Source organism: Homo sapiens, chromosome 20, assembly GCF_000001405.40.
Source record: "Homo sapiens chromosome 20, GRCh38.p14 Primary Assembly".
Taxonomy (NCBI): domain Eukaryota; kingdom Metazoa; phylum Chordata; class Mammalia; order Primates; family Hominidae; genus Homo; species Homo sapiens.
The window spans coordinates 56,828,409-56,852,125 of NC_000020.11; the positions used below are offsets into that span (position 1 = coordinate 56,828,409).

At 48.2% G+C, this 23,717-nt stretch overlaps 3 annotated features.

The window, feature by feature from the left end:
* Positions 3,449-4,242: an enhancer, noted in NCBI's record as "H3K27ac hESC enhancer chr20:55406913-55407706 (GRCh37/hg19 assembly coordinates)". NCBI's record gives its function as "activates a minimal SCP1, AML or CMV promoter by ChIP-STARR-seq in primed H9 embryonic stem cells {active_cell/tissue: H9 hESC(primed)}" and the evidence as "EXISTENCE:reporter gene assay evidence [ECO:0000049][PMID:30033119]".
* Positions 4,243-5,036: an enhancer, noted in NCBI's record as "H3K27ac hESC enhancer chr20:55407707-55408500 (GRCh37/hg19 assembly coordinates)". NCBI's record gives its function as "activates a minimal SCP1, AML or CMV promoter by ChIP-STARR-seq in primed H9 embryonic stem cells {active_cell/tissue: H9 hESC(primed)}" and the evidence as "EXISTENCE:reporter gene assay evidence [ECO:0000049][PMID:30033119]".
* Positions 20,161-20,306: a silencer, noted in NCBI's record as "fragment chr20:55423625-55423770 (GRCh37/hg19 assembly coordinates)". NCBI's record gives its function as "represses an EF-1alpha promoter that drives an FKBP-Casp9 reporter gene in an ReSE screen in HepG2 liver carcinoma cells {active_cell/tissue: HepG2}" and the evidence as "EXISTENCE:reporter gene assay evidence [ECO:0000049][PMID:32094911]".

Here is a 23,717-nt window from a genome sequence, read left to right on the forward strand (position 1 = left end):
CACTGTGCAGGTGAATGCCCGAGTCCGTCAGTCCCTGCCCTGTCCAAGCCCGAGCCTCTCGGGGGGTCGCTCGCTCCTTCCCATTTGGACTCCAGTGTGGGAGGTGGGTGGGGGCCGCACCCTTGGCTCTTGACCAATCAGAGAATCATATTTCTCTAGAGACAGGGATTGGCTGAGGGAGGCCATGTGACCTGAGCAGAGCCAATGAGAGACAATGTGGCTTTTGCTGGGACTTTAAGAGAGAGGCTCCTGTCCTGATCCCCGCAACTGAGCCTGGAAGCTGTAAGATCAGAGCGGCTGCCACCCAGCCAAGCACAGCTGAGACAGGGTTGATTTTTGATGGAGCTGTACCCAAAGCCATCTCCTCCTCTGGACTTTTCTGTGCCTAAACCAATGCATTCTCTCTTTACCCAAATCGGTTGGAGTTGGGGGTCTATGCCACACAAGGCACAAGCAGCCCAGCTGATTCACGTGTGAGATGGTTTCCCCACGCCTTGCCCACTCTAAGTGTTCAGTAAACGTTGAGTAGGATTGTAACATTCTGCTGCTGTTATTTCTTCAATGGAACTACAATGTCTTCAGGTTCAGAGGCCACATCTTCCCTCACATTGGTTTCCTCGTGGGTAAACCAGACGCCTGGGGAGCTGGAATCAGAACGACTAAATAAAGGGGTGGATGGGCGGCTATACAGAAGGAAAGACGCATGGGCAAATTGACAAAGGGCATTATGGGATGCAAAAAAAAACAAGCAAGACCCTCCTCCTTGAGAAGCTCTTCATGAACGATCACTGCAGTGATTCCCCCTTTTCTGCATCCAGCCACCTTTGCACGGTGACTAATTCCAAGCTGGGTACCCCCAAACCCAGCTCCCACCTCAGGGCGTTTACCCTTTCTGGAACACCCTCTCCAAGTTCTGCTTGTGGCTCGTTCCTTGCTATTCAGATCCACATTCCCATGCCACCTCTTCCAGGAGGCCCTCCCTCATCGTCCCAGCAGCTGCCCTTCCTATCATGCTCCCATGCTTTATTTCACTTGGGGCTACTATCACCATCCACAGTGACCTGCCCACTTGCTAACCCTGCCACCGTGTGAGCGCCATAGAGACAGGATCTTAATCCTCACTCACTGCCATGTCCTCAGCCCCTAGATTGAGCACATAGTAGATGCTCAATAAATATTTGTCGAATGAATGAGTTATTTACACATCTGGCTTCCGTCCCTGGAGGGCAGGCACCTTGTCTTACCTGTTTTGAACCCCCAGGTTTCTACTCAATGCAAATAAGGCATCAAATAAGACCTTAGTACATGAGTGTTGAATGAATGAATAATATTTAAGATGATGTTAGTTTCTGAAGAACCCAAAGCAACAGAAAGCTCAGTGTGGGGCTGCATCTCTCAGCCTCCTCAGGGCATCTGCCACTGCTGAAGTGACCTCCTGTCTCAGCAGCATCGGCGGCAGGATTACAGGGCAGGGTCGGAGCCTCAGGTCTGCTGTTGACATTGTGATTAAGGCGGGGAACACACCAGGGCCTCCCTCATAGGGCGGAATGAGCGTTAACTGGAGCAAAGCAGGTAACACGCTTAGAACTGTCCTATCATGCCTGCCACAGAGAGGCGTGATAGGTTTCCATTTCTCCACACATCCCTGCATCCATCCTCCTTTCGCTCCAGAGGAGGAAGCTTCCTCCACGAAGGAAGGTACCCGTCCAAGGTCACACAGCCAGTGAGAATTTTCTCAGCACATCCAAGAGGTGACCCGCCCCCCGCCCCTTGCCTGACACCTCCCTCCCCACCCCCACACCTTCCGGTTTCCACCCCGGGCTCATTTGTCTGCAGTTAAATCCTCAGGGACTTTTTTCTTTCCCCCAGGGTGGGCACATTTTATTTTAAACAGAAAAAAATGACAAAGTCGCTCATAAATCGAGCTGTTTTTCACACTGTCCTGTCTCTGACAGGCTGTTAGAAAAGTTGGGAGGAGAGGTGCTACTGTTATACTTTTGTTATTCGGTGCTAATTAGAAGAGAGCTGAGCGCTGGGATGGAGAACAGTTTCCAAAGAGGCACTTATTGTTCCCATTCGAATGAAAACGCCTTCAGATTAAAAAACCTCTCTCATTCCTGGGTGCTGCATTTCCAGCAAAATACTTTGTTTTGTTCTTAAAATTACCTGGTCGATAGAATACCATAGACATATTAAAATGTGTTAGAAAATAATCTTCTAAACATTCCTGTTAGAGTACTTAAAGGTATCTGACTGCTTCTTCTATAGCAATTGTAATGAAGATGCAGAGGGAACGTGTGTTTGATCTACGGAAAGACACATCTGTGTCCACAGACTGAGCAGAAGAGGTAGAGGGGAGTCTCCTCCTTTGTGTGGGGAGACAGGGTGCTAGGAGGAAAGAGCTTTAGCTGAGAAGCCTGAAAAGGGAAAGGGGGGTGCCGGGTGCCATGGCCCACACCTGTAATCCCAGCACTTTGGGAGGCCAAGGTGGGCAGATTATGACGTGAGGAGTTCGAGACCAGCCTGACCAACATGGCAAAACCCCATCTCTACTAAAGATACAAAATTAGCTGGGCGTGGTGGAGCACGGCTGTGATCCCAGCTACTTGGGAGGCTGAGGCAGGAGAATCGCTTGAAGTCGGGAGGTGGAGGTTGCAGTGAGCCAAGATCATGACACCGCACTCCAGTCTGAGCGACAAGAGTGAAACTCCATCTGAAAAAACAAAAAGGCGGGGGATGCAACGGACATTTTTTTCCTCCAAAGTCCACTGTGTGTGCCTGTTGCCCTGTCCAAGCTGCGTTCCAGCCCCAACACTGCTGCTGGATGTGGCAGTGTTTTACTGAATCCTCACATCTGCCCATGGGGTGCACGCTTATTGTCAGAGGCGTTTCAACCACAGCAACCCCATCTTGAATAGGAGCAGGTAAAAAGAGGCTGAGACCTACTGGGCTGCATTCCCAGATGGTTAAGGATTCTAAGTCACAGGATGAGATAGGAGGTCAGCACAAAATACAGGTCAAAAAGATCTTGCTGATAAAACAGTCCGCAGTAAAGAAGTCAGCCAAACCCCACCAAAACAGGATGACGATGAGAGACACTTCAGGTCGTCCTCACTGCTACACTCCCACCAGCACCATGACAGTTTACAAATGCCATGGCAGCATCAGGATGCTACCCTATATGGTCTAAAATGGAAAGGCATGAATAATTCCCCCCACCTTGTTTAACATATCATCAAGAAATAACCATTAAAAATGGGCAACCAGCAGCCCTTGGGATGCTCTGTCTATGGAGTAGCCATTCTTTTGTTCCTTTACTTTCCTAATAAACTTGCTTTCACTTTACTCTATAAACTCATCCTGAACTCTTTCTTGCACAAGATCCAAGAACCCTCTCTTGGGGTCTGGATCGGGACCCATCTCCTGTAACATTATGATTGTTCTGATTTCTATAAAGGAGAAAAGTAAGGCTTACAGAGGTTAAGTAATGTGCCTAAAGTCATACAGCAGGCAAATGGTGGTACCAGGATTTGATACCTTCCAGGCTCCGGTGTAGGACAGTGGAGGGTTGGATCCCAGCCAGTGCTCATGTTTTTGGCTTCGAACCTGGGCCCCCTTCCATGGTAGCATTATTATTGCCCAATTGTACAGGCGAGGACAGGGAGACTCAGAGCATCCCATCCCAGTTGGAGGCCATGCAGCAAGAAGGAGTGGAGCTGCTACAGGAAAGGGGTCCAGATCCAGACCTCAAGAGAGGATTCTTGGCTCTCACACAAGAAAGAATTCAGGAGGCATCCACAGAGTAAAGTGAAAGCAAGTTTATTAAGAAAGTAAAGGAGTAAGAGAAACTGAGGGCTGCTGATTGCCCATTTTGATGATTATTTTTTGATGATATGCTAAACAAGGGGTGGATTATTCATACCTCACCCCCCTTTTTTTCTTTTTGAGATAGAGTCTTGCTCTGTTGCCCAGTCTGGAGTGCAGTGGCTCAATCTCGGCTCACTGCAAGCTCCTCCTCCCGGTTTTACACCGTTCTCCTGCCTCAGCCTCCCGAGTAGCTGGGACTACAGGCGCCCGCCAGCACGCCTGGCTAATTCTTAGTATTTTTAGTAGAGACGGGGTTTCACCGTGTTAGCCAGGATGGTCTCGATCTCCTGACCTCGTGATCTGCCCGCCTCTGCCTCCCAAAGTGCTGGGATTACAGGCATGAGTCACCGTGTCCGGCTGCCTCCCCTTTTTAGACCATATAAGGTAACTTCCTGACGTTGCCATGGCATCTGTAAACTGTCATGGCGCTGGTGGGAGTGCAGCAGCGAGGACGACAGGATGTCACTCTCATCGCCATCTTGGTTTCGGTGGGTTTTGGCTGGCTTCTTTACTGCAACCTGTTGTATCAGCAAGTGTTTATGAGCTGTATCTTGTGCTGACCTCCAATCTCATCCCGTGACTTAGAATGCCTTAACTGTCTGGGAATGCAGCCCAGTAGGTCTCAGCCTCATTTTACCCATCTCCTATTCAACATGGAGTTGCTCTTATTTACATGCCTCTGACAGAACCTTCATACAGAATGGGCCCCCAGCTCCAGGAAGGAGGAGGCACAAAAATGCAGTGGAGAATAGGAGCCCCAGGGGGCTGGGCATCTCCAGTAAGTGAGGCTCCACATCCCAGCTGGACAACCTCAGGCAATGACTTAACCTCTCTGTGCCTCAGTTCATCACTACAAAATGAGGATAATAATAGTTCCTTCCTCACTGTGGGGTTATGAGGCTCCAGTGAGGTCACCTATGTCAAGCACTTCACAGTGGGCTGGTTCCCCAGTATTGCACACCCCGGGGAACTCCTGCTGTTACTATTTGCCTGATTCTAAAGCCACACCATCCTGTGCACCAGGATGCTGCCAGGAGCTCTCTGTTATCTAGACGGGTCCTCTTGAGTGGGCAGGCCACTTGCTCCAGGTGTTGGTTTCTCCCAGTGCAGAGCCAGTGCCTGGGAACAGATGACCTCAAAGGCCCTGGGTGGATCTCTCTGTGCTGCCACTGAATCTTTGATTCTAGATTTCATTCATTTGTTCAACAGTGCCAGAAACAGTGCAAGGCTCTGGAACAAACAACAGTGACCTTCGTTAAGTTGAGTCTTATGTGTGCAAGAATAGAGATTCACGAAGCAGATAGGAGTGATCAGCCCTCTGAAGCCACGTGCCTTCTGCCTGCCTCTCTCAGGAGGGAAGTGGTGTTTGTCAAAACATTTATTTTGCAAAGTGCTTTCACTTCTTCCCTCTAGGGCAGTCCTCATCATGCTCTTCTAAGCTACAAGGCAGGCTGGGCAACCCTCCTTTATCCCCATTTGACAGATAAGAAAACAAGTCCGTAGAAGTTGAAATGATTTGCCCAAGGCGAGGGAGCTAATAATCAGGTGCTTGCTCCCACAACATCTTCCCCGACCTTATCATGCCCTGTGAAGTGATCATTTTGGTCATGTGGTCATTGGCCGGGTCCTAGGAAGACGGGTTTCTATGCATGTAATGAGAAAAATGTGTTGGTAGCTCTTCAACTACAATTTATTTCAGTCTCCTTAAATTCTAGCCAGGCAAAAGGCTGTGATCCCCAACCCTGCTGCAAACCACTCAGTGAGTCAACCAATAAAGGCGGCATGAACTTTTTGTTTGTGCCTGGAAGGGCGATAAAACCCACTCACAACCTGTAGGCACTTATTCACACCTTCAGGGAGTGGCAGAACTATCAAAGTCAGTAACTTATTGAGCATCTACTGTTTTCCAGGAATTTACTGTTTGCCAGATTAGAGGGTCACGTCACTTACTTTTCACCAGATTAGGAATTCACTTACTTAATTTACATTTCTAGATCACGGAGAGGAAGCTTTGTGAGATCGCACACTCCTAGAGTTGCCAGATAAAATATAGGACAAATACAATTTATAAAATCATTATACTGCAAAATTATTTGTGTTCATCTGAAACTCACATTTAACTGGGCGTCTTGAGTTTTTGTTTGCTAAATCTGGTAACCCTACTGAGATCACACAGGGCACTTGGATGAGACTGAGATGATGGGACTCCTCAGTCTCCACTCTCCACCACAGCGAGGTCAGCCTCCCAGCTGCTTCGAGAAACTGATGGAAAAGGAGGGTCAAAGCCAAAGGCTCAGGTGGCCGTCCATCCCTGCTGGCTCAGGGCTCAGAGCTTTTCTGGGCTGTGGCTGGCCGTTCAGTTCTAAAGCCAGAAAAGTCCTGGGCAAACGTGGATGAGTTGGTCACCCTAGCAGGGGCTCCAGCTGGGCCTGTTGCGGGGGTGGGTAGCACTGAGCCAGGAGGTCGTAGAGAGCGTGATAATGATGGAACTGATCCTAAATCCTGCATGAGACAAACTCCTTCCCCTCCATAATCAGTCAAGAGCCATATTTCCCCACCTCTACCATCCACTTAGAATTTCAGGAATTTCTCGGTATCCTCATACAACCTAGTCTAATAATTGACTCACCTTTCTCAGATAAATGCATTTCTTTGAAAAGAACTACTCTATCACTACCATAGATGTAAAACCAGCATCAGTTCCCACAAATATAAGATAGCCATAAAAATAAATTTGAAAAATTGTTAAAACGAAAACAAGTTGTTAATCAGGGTACACCTAGAAATTAACTCATGTGCCCATTGGTGTGAATACCACCCTCTGTGCCAGATGAAGGTGTGCCTTGATCTAAGGAGACAGAGGACAATGAGGCTGCTCTTGAGAACACCAAGTGCTTCCGAATGGAAGTAGTTGCAGGGCTGTGAAAAAGGAAACATCATAGAGAAAGCCAGGAAGCCTTCCTGAAGGAGGCAGGGCTTAGGTGATCTTGGAGTCAGGGCAGAGTGTGGACAGGCAGAGAGAGGCAAGGCAAGCCTTCCTTGTCAGATTTTTTTCTGCGGGCTGGTCTTTTTCCACGGGCTCCTTTTGGGAAGGTCCTCGTTTTGTGAAGTTCCAATGTGCGCAGATGTCGGTCACAACGTTTTGGTCAAATAACTCCAGTTCTCCAACAACACGGTTCAATTTTAAGTTACCACAGTATGTTAACTGTGCATAATTGCATAAATTACAAACTTCCCTGCTAGCTTGACAGCCCACAAATTACTATGTAATAACAGGTGCACATCGCGATCCATGACCAATCATGTCACCACTTCAAAGTCTGTCAAAGACTGGTCACTGCCCATCTGTATTCAGTTCATACACAGACAGCAAAGCTTGAAGTTGCATTGCCTCCTTGTTTCCCCGTGATAAGCCCACATGCATTTTATAAAAGTGAGGAATCCAAAGAGAGAATCAGGGACAAAGATGAAAGTGCAGCTAAGAAATGAAAAGCAGTAATGCTAAAAATGACATTTGGATTGAACATAAATGGAGTTACTGAAGAAATAGCTGATGATGGAAATGGTGGCTCAGATCTAAGGGTGATGCAAAGTCTTAGGGCCTTTGAGTCCTGAATCAGAGACTGAAAAATCTAGATATGCCAAATTCACAGCATATGTTCTATTACTGCCGTGTAGGCACTTGTGGTAGACATCACTAATCAATTCTAGCACTCCACAGGGTGCAGAGGTTACAAAGGTTCTGCTCCAAAACCTGACTGCCTGGCTTTGAATCTAGGATCTTTCGCTTTCAAGCTATGTGTCCTAAGGCAGGTTATTTAACCTGGCTGAGCTTCCATTCCCTTATCTACAAAACAGACATACAAAATGCTATCTCACAGAGTTGTTGTGAGAGTAAAATGGAATATGTGTAAAGCACTTGATATTGTCTGGTATCTAGTACAACTCCATATGTGGTAGCTAGCAGCAATAGCAGCAGTGCTGCCAATCCAAGATTCAGCTACAGAAATCTTCTCAGCCCAGAGCAACAGACAGTCACTGTTGAATCCGAGCTGGAAGGGGAGGTGGAATCTGCTTGCCATTCCTGCTGTGATCCAACCATGCAGACTCTGCCAGCTGAAACAACAAGCCCATGGTCTCCCAGAGAGCTAGAAGCCTTGGGCTGTGTTCTGGATCACCCCTGTATCAACTGTGCCTCCCCAGCCCAGCTTACCTCCTTTCCAACCACGCTGAAAGGCTCTCAGCATGGGCTTAGGATGCTGAGGCCAGGAGGATCCCCAAGGGGATCTTTTGGTTTGAGGGCATTTTCATAAGTCTTGAATCTTCCCATTCAGGCAAGATCTCTGGTAGTAATGTTTAGCTTTTGATGTTAAGGGCTAATGGCACCAAAGTGCTTGTCTTCATTGGCCTCTGAGTTTGAGGTGGGCTGTGGGCAGTAGTGAGAGAAGTGAGAACCGGAAGCCTTTGTTCCACCCCGGGATGTCCCAGAGATGGACAGCTTCTGTCTTCTTTTGCAGAGGGTCGAGCATGGTCAGGGCTGGCAATGCCACCTGAACCAAGAACCCTGCCTTGCTGAGCAGGGCTCTTGCTCAGTGTTGCTTCCCAGGGATGAGTCTTTCCTTGTTGCTATCGGTAGTGAATTTCAGAGCTGGTGCCTGCAATTGTCACCCGGTTGAGCAGACCTGGGAGGCAGACCATGGGCAAAAGACATCCAGAGACAATCATATAAGGGGAGCAAATTGCCAGGAAGTGTGGAGAAGCTGGGTCTTTCCAAGCTGGGTACACATCTCACTTGTCAAACAGCCTCGGAGACCCCATGCCTTAGCCAGGCTCTCAGGTAAGCCCAAGTGTGAATACAGGTCTGGTGCATCTGTTGGGCAGCAACTTCTTTGCTTCACACCCAAGAACAAAGCCACCCAGAAGCATGGCAAATTCACTCCAGCTTCCAAGGCAGATGAAATAAGAAATCAGGAACTGGGCTGGGAAAAAGAGAGCTCCCAATAGAAATAGCAACAGAGACAATCATGACAAAGTTTGCTTCTTTGGGAGCTTTCTCAGCATATTTGCTGTTTATTGAGTGTTTAATATGTGCTGCACACTCCCTAATTATGTGTATTTTACTTTTTTAACCCGCGAGGTAGCACCATGAAATATATCATGGTGTCACTGTCTTAAAAATGAGAAAACTTATGCTCAGGTTTTTGACATGCCTAGATCACGCAGTCCTGGTAAAAACGAGACTCAAACCCAAGTCATGGTGCCTCAAAGTCTTTTCCATTCCCCCTGTGTGATCTCCTGGATGCTGGTCCTGTGTCCAGCGCCTCTTATAACCATACTTAAAGGATGCGTATAGGTCTTTAGTAGATAGAAGAGAGGAGAAGGTGTTTCAGGTGGAAGGAAAAGATTGAGAAAAGTCCAAGGAAGTAGAAATTGGCACAGTGTTTAGTCACTATCCAGGAATAGTCTGCTTTGATCAAATGGTAGAACTAAGGATATGCCAGAAATAATTGCCAATAGACAGGTTGTGTTTGAGGGTCACTGGTCTTGAAGGGTCTTGAAAGTTCAACAGGGGTGTTGCAGTTGGATGCAGTAGGTAACAGCAAGTCATAGTTGGTTCTTGAGCAGGAAAGTGGCATATAGAACAATAACCTTGGAAGACTGCTCTGACTGCCCCTTGCAGGATGGGAGACAGAAGGCAGGAAGGATTGCTTAGAACTGTGCCATTATCACAAACGATGACAAGAAGGAGATGGCTGAGGAAGTAAGGTGCATCTTTGGAAAACACTCAGAGAAACAGGTTAGGTCTTATGGCAGGTTTGCTGTGGTGGCCCTGTTGCCTCCTCCAAGGTGTGATGAAGGAAGTGCATCTGAACCATTTTTGCTATGAGTTGTGAGGGCCAGCCTGCAGAGGTCTACTCCTTCCCCTGAATGTGGTTGTCTAGAACTGAACCTGAAATGCCCATCTCATGACCACCCATGAAATGCCATCTCACGACCACCCAGAGGTCAGTGGCAAATTCACTCCAGCTTTCGAGGAACACTGCCCAAGGCAAAGCCAAGACCCCGAGGCTGGCAGAGCAGAGAAACAGAAAGAACCAGGGTCTGATGTCATCCCTGAGATGTTCCTTCTGCACCTGGAAACACCCTGTCTCTCAACTTCATGCCATGGAGATAATAACATTCCTTTATTTAAGTTAGGGGTTCCTGAAACTCGTGTCCAAAGGCCTCCTGACAGAGATACTGATTGTGGGAGTAAAAGAAAAAGCTTAGAAGCAGAGACAGTCCTTGCTGAGTGGGCATCAACTAGTCTGAATAATCCCACATTCCAACCTACCTGGTCAAGGGGTGAACACCTGACTTCGAGACCGCCTGTTCATAAGTCTGGCCAAGCCAATAAAATTTCCTGTCATGGAAACTTGAACTAAGAGACTCAGAGAAGAGATTCCATGTAGGGTAGACCCTTGTGCTGAAAGATTAGGTTGTTGTAAGTCTAGGAAGTCAAGGCTGGATCAAGCTGAAGATGCATATGTTGAGGAAGTTAGTTGGGAAAAGAGAGAATGAAGCAGGTAGGCAGAGATAAGGAGAGTAGAAAGAGAAACAGAGAGAGAGAGAGATGAAGAAGGATTCCAGGAGGGACAGAGTCAGAGTTGAGAGAACATGTTACTCCTAAGACACATATAGAGTAGGTTGGCTCCTGGCCCCCAGTCCCAGTTCCAGAGGGTGCAGTGTATTTCTTGCCTTCAGAATCTGTGCATTCCCCAACAATGTCCCTTTAGCTTGAGCTGGATTGAGTGGTCTTCTGCTCCTTCTTCAAAATCGGTGTGAGCAGAACACCTGGAACCAGCCCTTGTGTTGTTCATCACTGTGTCCCCAGCATCTAGGATGGTGCCTGGCACATAAGTATACAACGGATGGATAGATGAGTGGGTGGGTGAGATGGATGGTTGGATAGATGGGTAGGTGGGCAGATGGATGGATAGATGGATGAATGGATGGGTGGGTGAGATGGATAGATAGATGGGTGGGTAGATGAGTAAAACGGATGGATAGATGGATGGATGGGTGGGTGAGTGAGATGGATGGATAAATAAATGGATGGATGGATGAGATGAATGGATGGGTGAGATGTATGTATGGATGGATGTATGGATGGATGGGTAGATGAGTAAGATGGATGAATGGGTGGGTAGGGAGATGAGTAAGATGGATGGGTGGATGAATGGGTGGATGAATGGAAGGATAAAGATGAATCGGGGCTGGGTGAGATAGATAGATGAATAAATGGATGAATGGGTAGGTGAGATGGATGGGTGGATGAATGGATGGGTAAGATGGATGAATGGATGGTAAGTGGATGGGTGGATGCATGGGTGGGCTTTGGAGGGGATGTGGAAAGGCAGGGTCTGATGTGGGGTCAGATGCCCCCAACACCCACCACTGCAGATACTTCAGCTGCAACAATCTTAACTGAGACCCCCTTATCCCTGTTGGGGCCCTGACACTGTGCTGGAGCCATGGTCCTTAATCACCTGGGGACTGGTTAAAGCTTAGACTTCTGGGCCCACCCGCAGCATCTCTGATTCCTTGTTGGGGGTGGGGCTAAAATATTGCATTTCTGACAAGTTCCCAGATATTAGTGCTGCTGATCTGGGCACTCCACCCAGCAAACCACAGTGCTAGAGGAATACGACATCTGGTGATGCAGGGCAGGCAAGCCCCAGAGTTGGCGCTTAGCCTGGGAGGGTTCTTGGCTTTGCTCAGGAAAGAATTCAAGAGTGAGTCGGTGCTAGAAGAAAACAGTTTTATTGAGGCAACAGTGTTACAGCTCTGTGACTGCTCCCGCAGAGCAGGGCTACCCCCCAGGCAGTGTGTGGGGAGCTCAGGGACAGTTCTGCAGTTATAGTATACCCACTTTTAATTAAATGCAAATTAAGGGGCAGTTTATGCAGAAATTTCTAGAAAAAGGGTGGTAACTTCTGGGTTGTTGCCATCAAAAGAGGCGGTAACTTCCAGGTGTTGCTATAGCAATGGTAAACTGACATGGCACTGGTGGGCATGTCTTATGGAGAGGGGCTTTTGCCTTTTCCCTGTTTCAGCCAGTTTCCAATCTGGTCTGGAGTAAACTCCTGCCTCCTACCTCACTGGTGCTCTCCCACAGCCTTCACGGTCCAGCTGTGAAACACGTAAAGAATGGGAAGGTGGGGAGGAGAGCTCAGTTGGAATAAGGCAGGCCTGGGCTAGGTGCACCCCCAAAAACATGAGCCCTTGACCCCAGCCAGTCCCAGGTCTCAGGAGCACCCTCTCTGACAAATTTATTTCCTCATTCACTACTGACTGAGGGTCAGCTGGGCTCTGGAATGGAGAAGATAAAATGGTCTGATGTAAGCATGGAGCTCACAGCCTGCAATCTGCATGAGGTGAGGGCAAATACTCACTCATGAAATGTCCAGGTGGGAGGAAGCTGGAGGGGAGTGGTGCTCCACCTAGAACCCTGCAGATCCCTTTTACTGTTCCCACATGCTTCTGCTGAGGTAGGAGGCTGGACTGGACTCCAGAGACAGGGCTGGACACCAGAATGAATTGAGGACTAGCTAAAACAAAGACAGGGGTGGAAGGAGCTTTCTATGAGACACGCCCACCAGTGCACCACATCAGTTTACTTTTGCCATGGCAACACTCGGGAGTTACTGCCTCTTTTCATGGCAATGACCTGACAACCCAGAAGTTATTATCCATTTCCTAGAAATGTCTGCATAAACCACCCCTTAATCTGCATGCAATTAAAAGTAGGTATGAATCTGACTACAGAACTGCCCTGAGATGGTACTCTCTGTCTATGGAGTAGACTGCTCTACAGGAACAGGCACAGAGCGGTAACACTGCTGCTTCAATAAAGCTGTTTTCTTCTACTCTACCACTGGCTCACCACTGAGTACTTTTCTGGCTGAAGTCAAGAATCTTGGTGGGCTAAGCCTCAATTTAGGGCTCACCTGTCCTGCATCACTGCCTCTGCACTTCTCTTTCCAGTGACTAGTCTTCGGAGAACTAATTCAGGCTATCAGAACTACATGGGGCAGGTCCAGAGATCCAGAAGTACCTGGGAGTCTATACCCTCAGGGTGGTCCTTACCCAGAGAATAACTGGTAGGGCTTAGGAGAGCTTGACTCCTGGCGCCTGGTCAGGAAAGCTCCCTGGTGTGAATTATGGCCCAGAGTCCCTGAGGGGTCAGGCTGCAGCCACTCTTCCCGGGCTGCCTGGAGTCTCGCCTTTGCTTGGCTTCTTCTCATTCTTGGCCTGCTGCCCTCACTTCCCAGGGGTCTCCCCTGAGAGCATGTCCTTAATAGATCACTTGCCTGTGAGTCTTGGTGTCAGGGTCTGCTTCTGGGGAACCCAGCCTAGGACAAAAGCCATGTGCAGGAGTTCAGAGGCAGACACAATGGAATGAAGAGAAAAGCCAGGGACAGGCGTCTGGAGGAGGAGGCAGAGGCGTGCAGAGTCAGGATAGTGAGAGGTCCAGCTGAGCATGGGCTCTGAGAGTCATGGAGTCATTGGGGGTGAGTTACTACAAAGCGAGATCTCCATCCAGGCTTCTTCTTCCACAGAAAGCAAAATCCAGCCTCTGAGATGCAAAGGCAAGCCAGGCACATTTACAGAGGTTTCATAAAGTCCTGTATGGAGGAAAAGTGAGAGAGGTTTGGGCTTATAATTTATTTCAGAAACTTTTCATGGTTGCACTTGGTCCAGTAGAGACTACAAGAAAAATGCTAGAGTGAAGTTGTGAGCTCTTGCTGCTGCTTGAGCTGTTTCTGCAGAGAAGCTGGGCTAATGCCATCCTGTGTCTGGGAAAACTAGCGGGTCCTGTGCAGGGCAGGGCTGGCTTGAGTATTAGAGCTGATGACAGCCATGGCCTGTCTAGAGCAGTCACTGTGGGGATGCCAGCTGCAGCAAGGGAGGTGCAGCTGGGGCCGCATGCTCCACGGAGCCAACAGCAGCCGGGAACAGGTGGGAGCCCCACTCACTACCATGTTGGCGGTGTGGAAGCCCCACGTTCCCAGGCGCAATTGCAGCTGCCCAGCCATAGCTCCATAGCCAGGCATTCCTGTGCTCCTGGGGACCTCTGAAGCACCCTGCCATGCCCCTGCCTTCGCCCCTGCCCCCACAGGCTCGGAAGTGCCTGCTGTTACTCCCTGGTGTCTCCCTGCTCCTAGTGCCCACTCCAATTTCAGAGCAAAGTTGTAGCCGAGCCTGAGTGCTGTTACAACCCAGCTGGGTGGGCACACGCTTGGGGTGGTGCTGACATGCCAGCCCCTCATGCCACCTCGGCCCCCTCCAGACTTTGGGTGTTGATGAGCGCAGAAGGGAGGCTGGTGTGGGGCTGAGGGCAGCTCAGCATAGGCCTGCAGGCACCCCTCAGTGCAAACAGCCTGGGTGTTGTGGATGGCATGTTGATGGCAAGAGGCAGACAGGTTCCTGGGTGGAAAGGGGTGGGTCCCAGTGAAACCTCCAAGCCAGGGACTGCCTGAAGCCTGGGGGCCAAGCTGCCAGCTCCAGGTGGAGTCCGTGGTCTGGAGAGAAAACTTATGGTGCTTTTCTGGGCCTGTCCATGGCTACCTATGGACCAATCAACATGCACATCCTCCCCTCTGAGCCCATAAAAAACCCAGACTCAGCCGGACTCACAGAGACTTGGGGCTACCAGCTGCCGGAAGGAGCTACCCGCTCTGGGTTTCCTTGACCTGTCAGAACACCTGCCTGTGGAAAGGAGCTTCCCACTGTGGGTCTCCTCTCCGCTGAGAGCTGGACACACATCAGGACAACCTGCCTGAGGATAGGAGCTACCCACTTTGGGTCTCCTGAGAGCTGCTGTTCTGTCACTCAGTGAAGCTCCTCTCTGCTTTGCTCACTCTCCAGTTGTCCGCATACCTCATTCTCCCTGGGCATGGGATAAGCACTTGGGACCTGAGGAATGGCAGGACTGAAAAATCTGTAACACAAACAGGACTGAAACATGCCCCCCACTTGCCATGTTGCAGGCAATGAGAAAAAGAAAAGAGCTGTGGCTCTTTGGGGATCCCAGATGTAGGAACTACTCAAGCCAGGGCTGTGACACTGTCTTTGAGTCTGTATGGTTCCTGGCATCTCCAAGTTTCCAGGCACCACCATGTTTCCCAGTGCCCACAGTGGAAGCAGCTTGCAGTACGCCTGGTCCAGCTGCAGCCTCGCAGGGAGCTGGTGCCTGGAGCACCTGCCTTGCTGAAGCAAGCATGCCTGGCCAGACTCCATGCTCACTCACACACCCCTCACCACTCCATGCCTGGCCGGACTCCATGCTCACTCACACACCCCTCACCACTCATGCCTGGCTCACGTGGCATCTGGGCTAGTAGCATGAGCAGAGAGCAGTCTGCCAGTCTGAGTGGGTGGAACGAGCCCAGCAGGCCTGAGCAAAACTCAGGCAAAGGAGCCACGGGCCACAGAGATTTCAAGCTGGAAAAGCGACCCCTAAGGATCCTGTGACCCCTAAGCCAGCAGAGTTGTCATCAAAAGGACATCCTGGCTTCCACCCTGCCTTTCCCAGTGTCCATTTGACAACTGATAGAGACTCCACCCATTTGGTGCCTGGAAGGCTAATTGTAGGGGATGGGGAATATTCCAGAAATAAAGAAAAAGGGAAATATAGGCATTCCTTTGTGTTCCCAGCTATAATTATCTGTTCAGAGGTTGCCTCCCACCACCTGGGGGCAGAGCAGCGTGGAAGGAACTGGGGGAGGCCCTTGCCAGGACCATAAAGATGAGCTCAGCTTCCAGGAGGTTCCCTGTAGGAAGTCTTGCTTTGGCAAGGTCGTGTTCCTTTTATTCCTCTGTATCATTGACTGAATAACGTTCCTCTGAGGAAACTGTTCCCTTTTGGGGATAGACAGTAACGATAGCTACCATTTTCTCTATGGCTCATGTACTTTGTATTTTAGTTTCTTCACCTCAAACCACCCCATGATGATCTCATTTTACAGGTGAGAAAACTGAGGTTCAGCATGGTTAACTAACGACTGAGGGTCACACAGCTGACAAGTGGGGGAACCGAAAATTAGACCTTCAAGTTGGCAGGATGTGGCCACTTCCCTCTCCAAGCTCATCCCTCCCTGTCCTCTCCCTTACTAGTGTCAGCCACGGTTCCTTCCTGTGTCTTCAACTCAGAAATCCCTTTCCGGCCTCCAGGCCTCTGCCTGTGCCAGTCCCTCTGCTTGGAGCACTGTTCAGACTGACTCATGTTCTTCAATCTCTACTCACTCATTAGGTAGAAAAGAGTCTTACCTGTTCTCATCTAAGTGGGTGCCCTGATCCCCTGCTTCCTATACATACCTCTACATCTTTTCCTTTACAACCATTATTCTAGTTGCAATTACCTATATATTTACTTATTGATCTTTCATTGTCTGTCTCCCCAAGAAGGGTAAGAAGCATTGATTTTTTCACATCCCACTCTGTTTCCAGAGCTAAGCACCATGCTTGGCACATAGCAGATGTTCGAAAACCATTTGTTCAGGGAGGGAAGGAGACTGACGGTCTTGTACCCTGCTTTCCAGGTGCTTCGTGCTGAGTAACTGCTGTCTACCTGTCAGAGGCTGCACTTGCTCATGATGTTTATTTTTATACCAGCACAGAGCAATGCGTGTTCTCTATGGCCTGGCCTGTAGCCCCTTTGGTGAGGGCAGGAGAGGTGGCATCCCATCCTGTCACATCCATGGGCCTCCTCAGGATCAGCTTTTCCTTAGAAACTTCCTCCCACATGAATCCACCCAGTCCTCAAATCCTAACTGTATGTGTTAGGAATCGCATTCTGGGGTAACCAACTGTCCTGGTTTGCCAGGTGTTGAGGGGTTTTGGTGCTAAAACTGGGACAATCGCAGGCAAGCCAGGATAGTTGGTCACTTTACAGATTTGGCTGCTGTGAACAGAAGCCTGTAAAAGAGTGGCTTAAAGAAATGACGTAAAAGGAAAAGGCCAGGACTGGAAGGTGGCTTCTTAATACTATCAAGGACCTGAGCTCCTTGCTTTCTGTCCTGCTATCCTAGAGGCATAATACCCACACTCAAGGTCACCTCATCGTCCCAAGATGGCAGCAGCAGCTCCAGTCATCATACCCTCATTCTAGGTGAGAACACAAGGAAGTGGAAGGTCAAAGAGGAGAGGCACCTGCTGAATTATCCCCCTTTAAAGAGCTTCCTCAGAAGCTCCGTTTGGGACATCTACTCATATCTCTGGCCAGAACTGTATCACATGACCATTTCTAGCAGCAAGATAAGCTGGGAAATCCAGCTTTTTAGTAGGGTGCATTGTTGCCCTGATTAACATATGGTTTTGCTTGTTTCGAAAAAGGCCAGACTACATATTTGGTAAGTTGGGTGACAGATGCATTGTGGTTTACCCGGGAACTTCCCCAGTTTTAGTACTGAAAGTCCTGCATCCCAGGAAACTCCTTGGTTCCAGGCAGCTAGGATAGTTGGTGTGGTTGGTCATGCCACTGGTAAGTGATCTCTAGTCTCTAACACACCAACCCCCCTCAACTTGGCAATAGCAGCTGCCTTAGGGACGCTGTGTTAGATCTCTGTTTAGTGCCTTGACATCCAGGCATAAATCAAACATCAAACAGCTCAAGTGATGCATAAAAAATAATTTCACCATAGCCCAGGTGCTGAATTATAGCAGTTGAGCTATAATTATTTGATACATATCTGCGAAGCTGAGAAAATTCTGCCTCAATTAGGAATAAAGTTAAGCTTCCAAAATTTTCTCTGAACAGTTCTATCTTTCAGGGAGAAGTTTCCCTCCTTTGCCCACGTTCACTTAGTTCGGTTTTTTTACATCCTAAAACTCTAGTTGGCAATGTTCATGATAATAACATTGAGTTTTTGCAAAAGCTGCAGATTTGAAGGGAAGAGGTAGGAAGTGGGAAATGGAAAACATCCATCTTTAGAATAACATAAATGTCTTATAACCAATTGTGAATGCTACCAGGGGCCTCTTAGCCCAGGAAAGGGGTGGACAGAGAGAAACCTCAGCCAGCATGAACAATGACCAGCAATGATCAGCCGCCTCCTGTGTCAGACACTGGGCTGAGAGACATCTTCGGCTTGCTGCATCTTCATGACCACGCTATGCTCCATTTTACACCTGGGGGTACGTAAGCTTCCAGAGGCTAAATAATTTGCCAAGTCCACACCACTAGGAAGTCGATGGTGAAGCTTGGGTTTACACCCTCATCTGGCTGACTCCGGAGCCTGGTTACTATATCCTGCCTCCTGGAAAGATCTGGGTTTGGCCAAAGGAGAGGCACATATACAGCCCCCCAGCCCTGGCCAGATCCATCCCAGCTACATCCTCAGAGTGGAATGTGGAAGGCAGTTTGTAGCTTCTGGCAATGTATAGGTCTTCCCAACGCTCTGGAACCTGAAAAATGCCCCATGGTGTTAAACTAACAAATGTCATTGTGTTTTTTGTTGTTTCTATTTCTTTCTCTAGAGTGCTTGGTATCTGGTCTCTCTGCAACCATGGCCCTTCTCCAAGGCCAAATTCACAGACTCTAGAAGTTGCAATGTAAGGTTTAGCACCTTTTAAGGAGACCCCTGGTGATTTCCCAGGAGAGGCTCCTGAAATCCTCCTGGTCTAAGTTGCAGTGAAGATGCCTCCTGGAGGCCTGATGCCTGCTTCAGCACCCCTCTGCACTCTTCCTAGGTGCTCCTGGTCTTTGGGCGTTTGTTGAGGAGGTGCCTGGGGTTAGACTGGGTCCAGAGGATGCTCTGTTGATCATGCTTGTTGGGAACCCCACAGCTCCTGAGGCTAGTGACACACACAGTCTCCACTGACCCCTGAGTCCCAGCTGGAATGGGGGTTTCCAAGTGTGATGCTGAGCCTTGGTTCCTTCATCTAAGAATTAGGTGACAAGAGTGTCTGCCTCACAGGGCTGTTGGGAGGATTAACTGAGATGGTGCCAGTCAGGTATCAGGCACCGTCTTCTATATGACACAGTGCTTGTTATATGGAAGGCTCCATAAGTCTCAGCCTTCATAATGGTAATGGGGAAGAGGATGAGGAAGAGAAAGAGGAGGAGGAGGAGGAAGAGAATAAGGAAGAGGAGGAGGAAGAGAATAAGGAAGAGGAGGAAGAAAAGAAGGGGAAATGAGGGAGAGATAAAAATAAAGAGATCATCTGGTCGGGTGCAGTGGCTCACACCTGTAATCCCAGCACTTTGAGAGGCCAAGGTGGGAGGATTGCTTAAGGCCAGGAGTTCGAGACCAACCTGGGCAACCCAGGTCTCTACAAGAATTTTAAAAATTAGCTGGACATGTTGTTGCACACCAGTTGTCCCAGCTATTTGGGAGGCTGAGGCAGGAGGATTCCTTAACCCCAGGAGTCTGAGGCTGCAATGAGCCATGATCACACCATTGCACTCCAGCCTGGGTGATAGAGTGAGGCCCTGTCTCAACAAAACAAAACAAAACAAAACAAAGGACAACAAAAAGAGAGACGATCTGAGATCATTGCTCAATTTCTTTGACTATAAAGTGGGAATAAGGCTGAGTGCCGTAGCTCACACCTGTAATCCCAGAACTTTGGCAGGCTGAGACAGGTGGATCACTTGAGGCCAGAAGTTAGAGACCAGCCTGGCCAACATGGTGAAACCCCATCTCTACTAAAAATACAAAAATTATCCGGGCGTGGTGGTGCACGTCTGCAATCCCAGCTACTCAGGAGGCTGAGGCGTGAGAGTTGCTTGACCTCGGGAGGGGGAGGTTGCAGTGAGATGAGATGGCATCACTACACTCCAGCCTGGGTGACGGAGTGAGACTCTGCCTCAAAAAACAAAACAAAACAAAATAATAAGTAGAAAAAATAAAGTGGGAATAATAACAGATCATCTTTCAAAATGTTGTAGAAAAGATGAATTGACATGACGTCTGCTAAGTGCTTAATATTGTGCTCGGCACATACTAAGTGTTCAATAAATCTTAGTTATGACAACACTTTAAGCTTCAACAAAATCAGGATAATAAGTCACCTTCTTCATAGGTTGTGGTGAAAACTCAAGATCACGTATTTGAAGTGAACAGAAAGTGCCTGGTACCTGTCAGACCTCAGTACATTGTCACTATTATTCAAGCAGAGGTGAGGAACTGTCCTTCTGATTGAGCATGTGGCCTCAAGGGGGACAGGAGCTGGGCCTGGGAATCTTCTGGAGAGAATGGAACTGAATTATTGCCCGGAGCCGGTGGAGTCTTCCAGGCAGAAGCAGCTCTCAGGGGGCAATGTCTGGCTGCTCCTGGCCTGGCTCACGACGGGCTGCAGCCTTTGTGGCAGGCCTGTCCTGGTGGCACCATGTCTCCCTCTCCATCCTTTAGTTTTCTCGCCAAAGGCCGGGGAAGCCAGGGCCAGTGTGAGTGCTGCCTCTGGGTGGTCTCCACAGTGCGGGCGGTGACTCCACTGCCCCCAGCCCCTTGACATCTGCCTTCTGTAGAGCACAGGTTGTCACCAGTTGACACTTACACAAGCCAGAAGCAGGCCCGGCCCACACTCATTGCCATAATAAACACACGCGGTAGTTTCTGAGAGCTGAGCTGTCCCATCCATCAATCCAGCGTGACATGCAAAGGGCCCCCGTGGTGGGAGTCGTGACTTCAAAGGTCAGAGCCTGACATCCAGGTGTGTGCATCAGGGATGCTGTGTGTCCTGGGCTGCAGTGGACGGCGGAGGTGAGCCATGGGGTCTGCGTGGGTGTGAGAGTCTGCGTGCATGCATGTGTGTGTGCATATAGATATGTCTATACACATAGGTGTGTGCACATATGCATGTGTGTATGTATGTATGTGTATATTCGTTTGTGTGCATATGTATGTGTGTGCATATGTGTAGGTAGTGTTCACGTGTGTATGTGTATATGTGTGTACATGCATGTATGCATGTGTGCACATGTATATGTGTGTGTGCATGTGTGCAGGCGTATATATGTAGGTGTGTATGTGCATTTATGTGTCTATGCATGTATGCCTATGTGTGTATACATGTTGTTATATGTATACTCATGTGCATGTGTGCGCATGTGTATGTGTTTATATATTTATATGGTTGTGTGCATGTGTATATGTAATGTGTGCAAATGTGTGTGTGTGCAGGCAAGCACATTAGATCAGGAGATCTCAATTCAAACATGTTCAGCCGCCAGCAAGGTTGTATAAATGTGAAAATGGGATGGGATAGAGAGAAAGTGACTCTGGTCCTTCAAATATAGGGCACATATGGTATAGAGTGCCGAGGACTGTGGCAAACAGGAAGCCTGTATCCCTGAGTGCAGCAGATGCAACCTCGTTGCTGCTGCATGAGGAATGCGGATCCAGTGTTACCAGGAATCCTCATTTTTCAAGAGAAGCCAGAAAGCTGGATTTTTATGTGAAATGGCTTGATTTTTAAGAATCTATTGTCAGCCCATTGAAGGAGATTGTTAAATGTCTCCTGGGTCAAAGAAAACACATGTGAGGCTTGAATTTGGCCTGTGGACATCCAGTGAGCAGTCGATCGCCACTGTGGTCATTTCTTTCTGATGTAGAAGGGACTACCCTACCAAGCTGGGCTTTTCCCAGAAGATCCTGCACTGGCTTGGAGGAATGGATCCTAATGGGGTGGTTTTGCCCACAGGAGGCATTTGGCAATGCCTGGAGACAGTTTTGGTGATCAAAACTGGGTCGTTGTTGTTGGTGGTGGTGGTGGTGGTGGTGGTGGTGCGCTCAATACTGGCAGCTGGGGTAAAGCCAGGGATGCTGCTGAACATCCTACAGTGCCCGGGACAACCCCTAGCCTACCCCAAGTTAAAGAATAATCTGGCTTGGCCGGGCACGGTGGTTCACGCCCATTATACCAGCACTTTGGGAGGCTGAGGTGGGTGTATCATTTGAGGTCAGGAGTTCAAGACTAGTCTGGCCAACATGGCGAAACCACGCCTTTACTGAAAATATAAAAATTAGCCAGGCTTGGTGGCAGGCACCTGTAATCTCAGCTACACGGGAGGCTGAGACAGGAGAATTGCTTGAACCCGGGAGGCAGAGGTTGCAGTGAGCAAAGATCATGCCATTGAACTCTAGCCTGGGCAACAAGAGTGAGACTCTGTCTCAAAAAAAAAAAAAAAAAAAAAAAAAAAAAAGAATAATCTGGCTCTAAATGTTGACAGTGAAGTGAGGTAGCTGAGAAACCTTGAATTAGAATCATCCCGAGGGTGATTTGAGAAGGCCAGCTTCTGGTTGTGGAAATTCCTCACTTATGAGCAGTGGCCTTTAGGAGTCAGTTTACACCTGATTTAAAATGTCCTCCAAAGGTCATCTTTCCAGCCTAGTGGCCTGTCCAGTGCTTTCCTGACATGCCAGCCCCGTGATAGGTGTGTCACATGTCTGAAATCAGCAAACCTCTCAACTCCCAGGAGACAAACCACTTTTATCCCCATTTTACAGGTGAGAATACTGAGACAGAGAAAAACCGAGCAAGAGTCTGTGGTCACACACACACATACACACACACCACACAGGAAAGTTGGTAGAGCCTGGATGTACTTTGGACAGTCTGACTCCAAACCCACCCCCTTAATGACAGGTCTACACTGTGAGAAGACATGGACTGAAATTGTTTTGCATTCTCTTGCACATCTGAGAGTTTGCTTGACTGCTTTTTATGCCTGGAACATTCTTCTCTTGGAAAACACCTACTTAACTTTCAGGGCTCAGTTCTAAAAGCTCCTTCTCCCGAACGTTTCCCCCTGAGGAGGGACTAGGTCAGGCACCCAGTCTGGGGTTCCTTCACCAACAAGGTGTTTTCCCTAACAGAGATCATTTCTCATTTACTGTGATTGCTTCAGTTTCTGTCTTATTGTGGCATGAGCATCCATCACAGCCATGCTAATACCTGGCACATGCTAGGCACTGACTAACTGTTGAATGAGCGGATCAATGAATGGATGGGTGTTTCCTTGCTTCCCAATTAGCTTTATTTCTGAACTTTGCAGTTGAGTCTTTTTGATGAGCTAGGCGCTGTTCTAAGTACTTTACGTGTATTAACTTGCTGATCTTTGCAACAGTCTTATGAGGTAGGCATTATTACTATCCCTGTTTATTCTCATTTACTCAACTTCTTAGGCAAAGAGAAGTTAAGGAACTTGCCAAAGTCACACAGCTAGTAAGTGGCAAGGACTTCTTCAGTGGCTGCCGCAGTGACTTTCTGCAGGCCTGGGAACAGAGCTGAGCTTTGTTCTTGTCCTAACTCTCTGGATCTCCAGATAAGGGCTCAGTGAGCTTATATTATGTGACTCAGGACAGATTCACATACAAACAACTATTTTACCGAACATCTACAATGTGGTGGGCATTGAATTAATTGAAGTGGTTATATTTTCATGTACCTTTGTCATTTGTATCTCTTGTTTAAGTATTTGCTTGTTTACATCCTATTAGTATATTTGACTGTCTGTTATTGATTAGCAATTACTCTTTACATATTAAGGCTCTACACAATATGTTTGTCACCTTTTTCATATTTCCCCAATTTAGTTATTTTTCAACTTGCTTATACTTTTTTATTTGCTATTCAGAGTTTAATTTTTAGGTAATTAAAAATGTTTTTTATGGTTTTAGTCCTTAGTACCATGCTTTGAGACTCTTTTTATCCCCAAGATTATAAAATATTAATTCATAGTTATTTTTCTATTCCTTTTAGTTTCACTATTTACATTATTTGTTTGCTTGCTTATTTAACATTTTAATCTTTGGTCCACCAGGAATACATTTTGCCATATGAGGTGAGGCGAGAATCTCAGT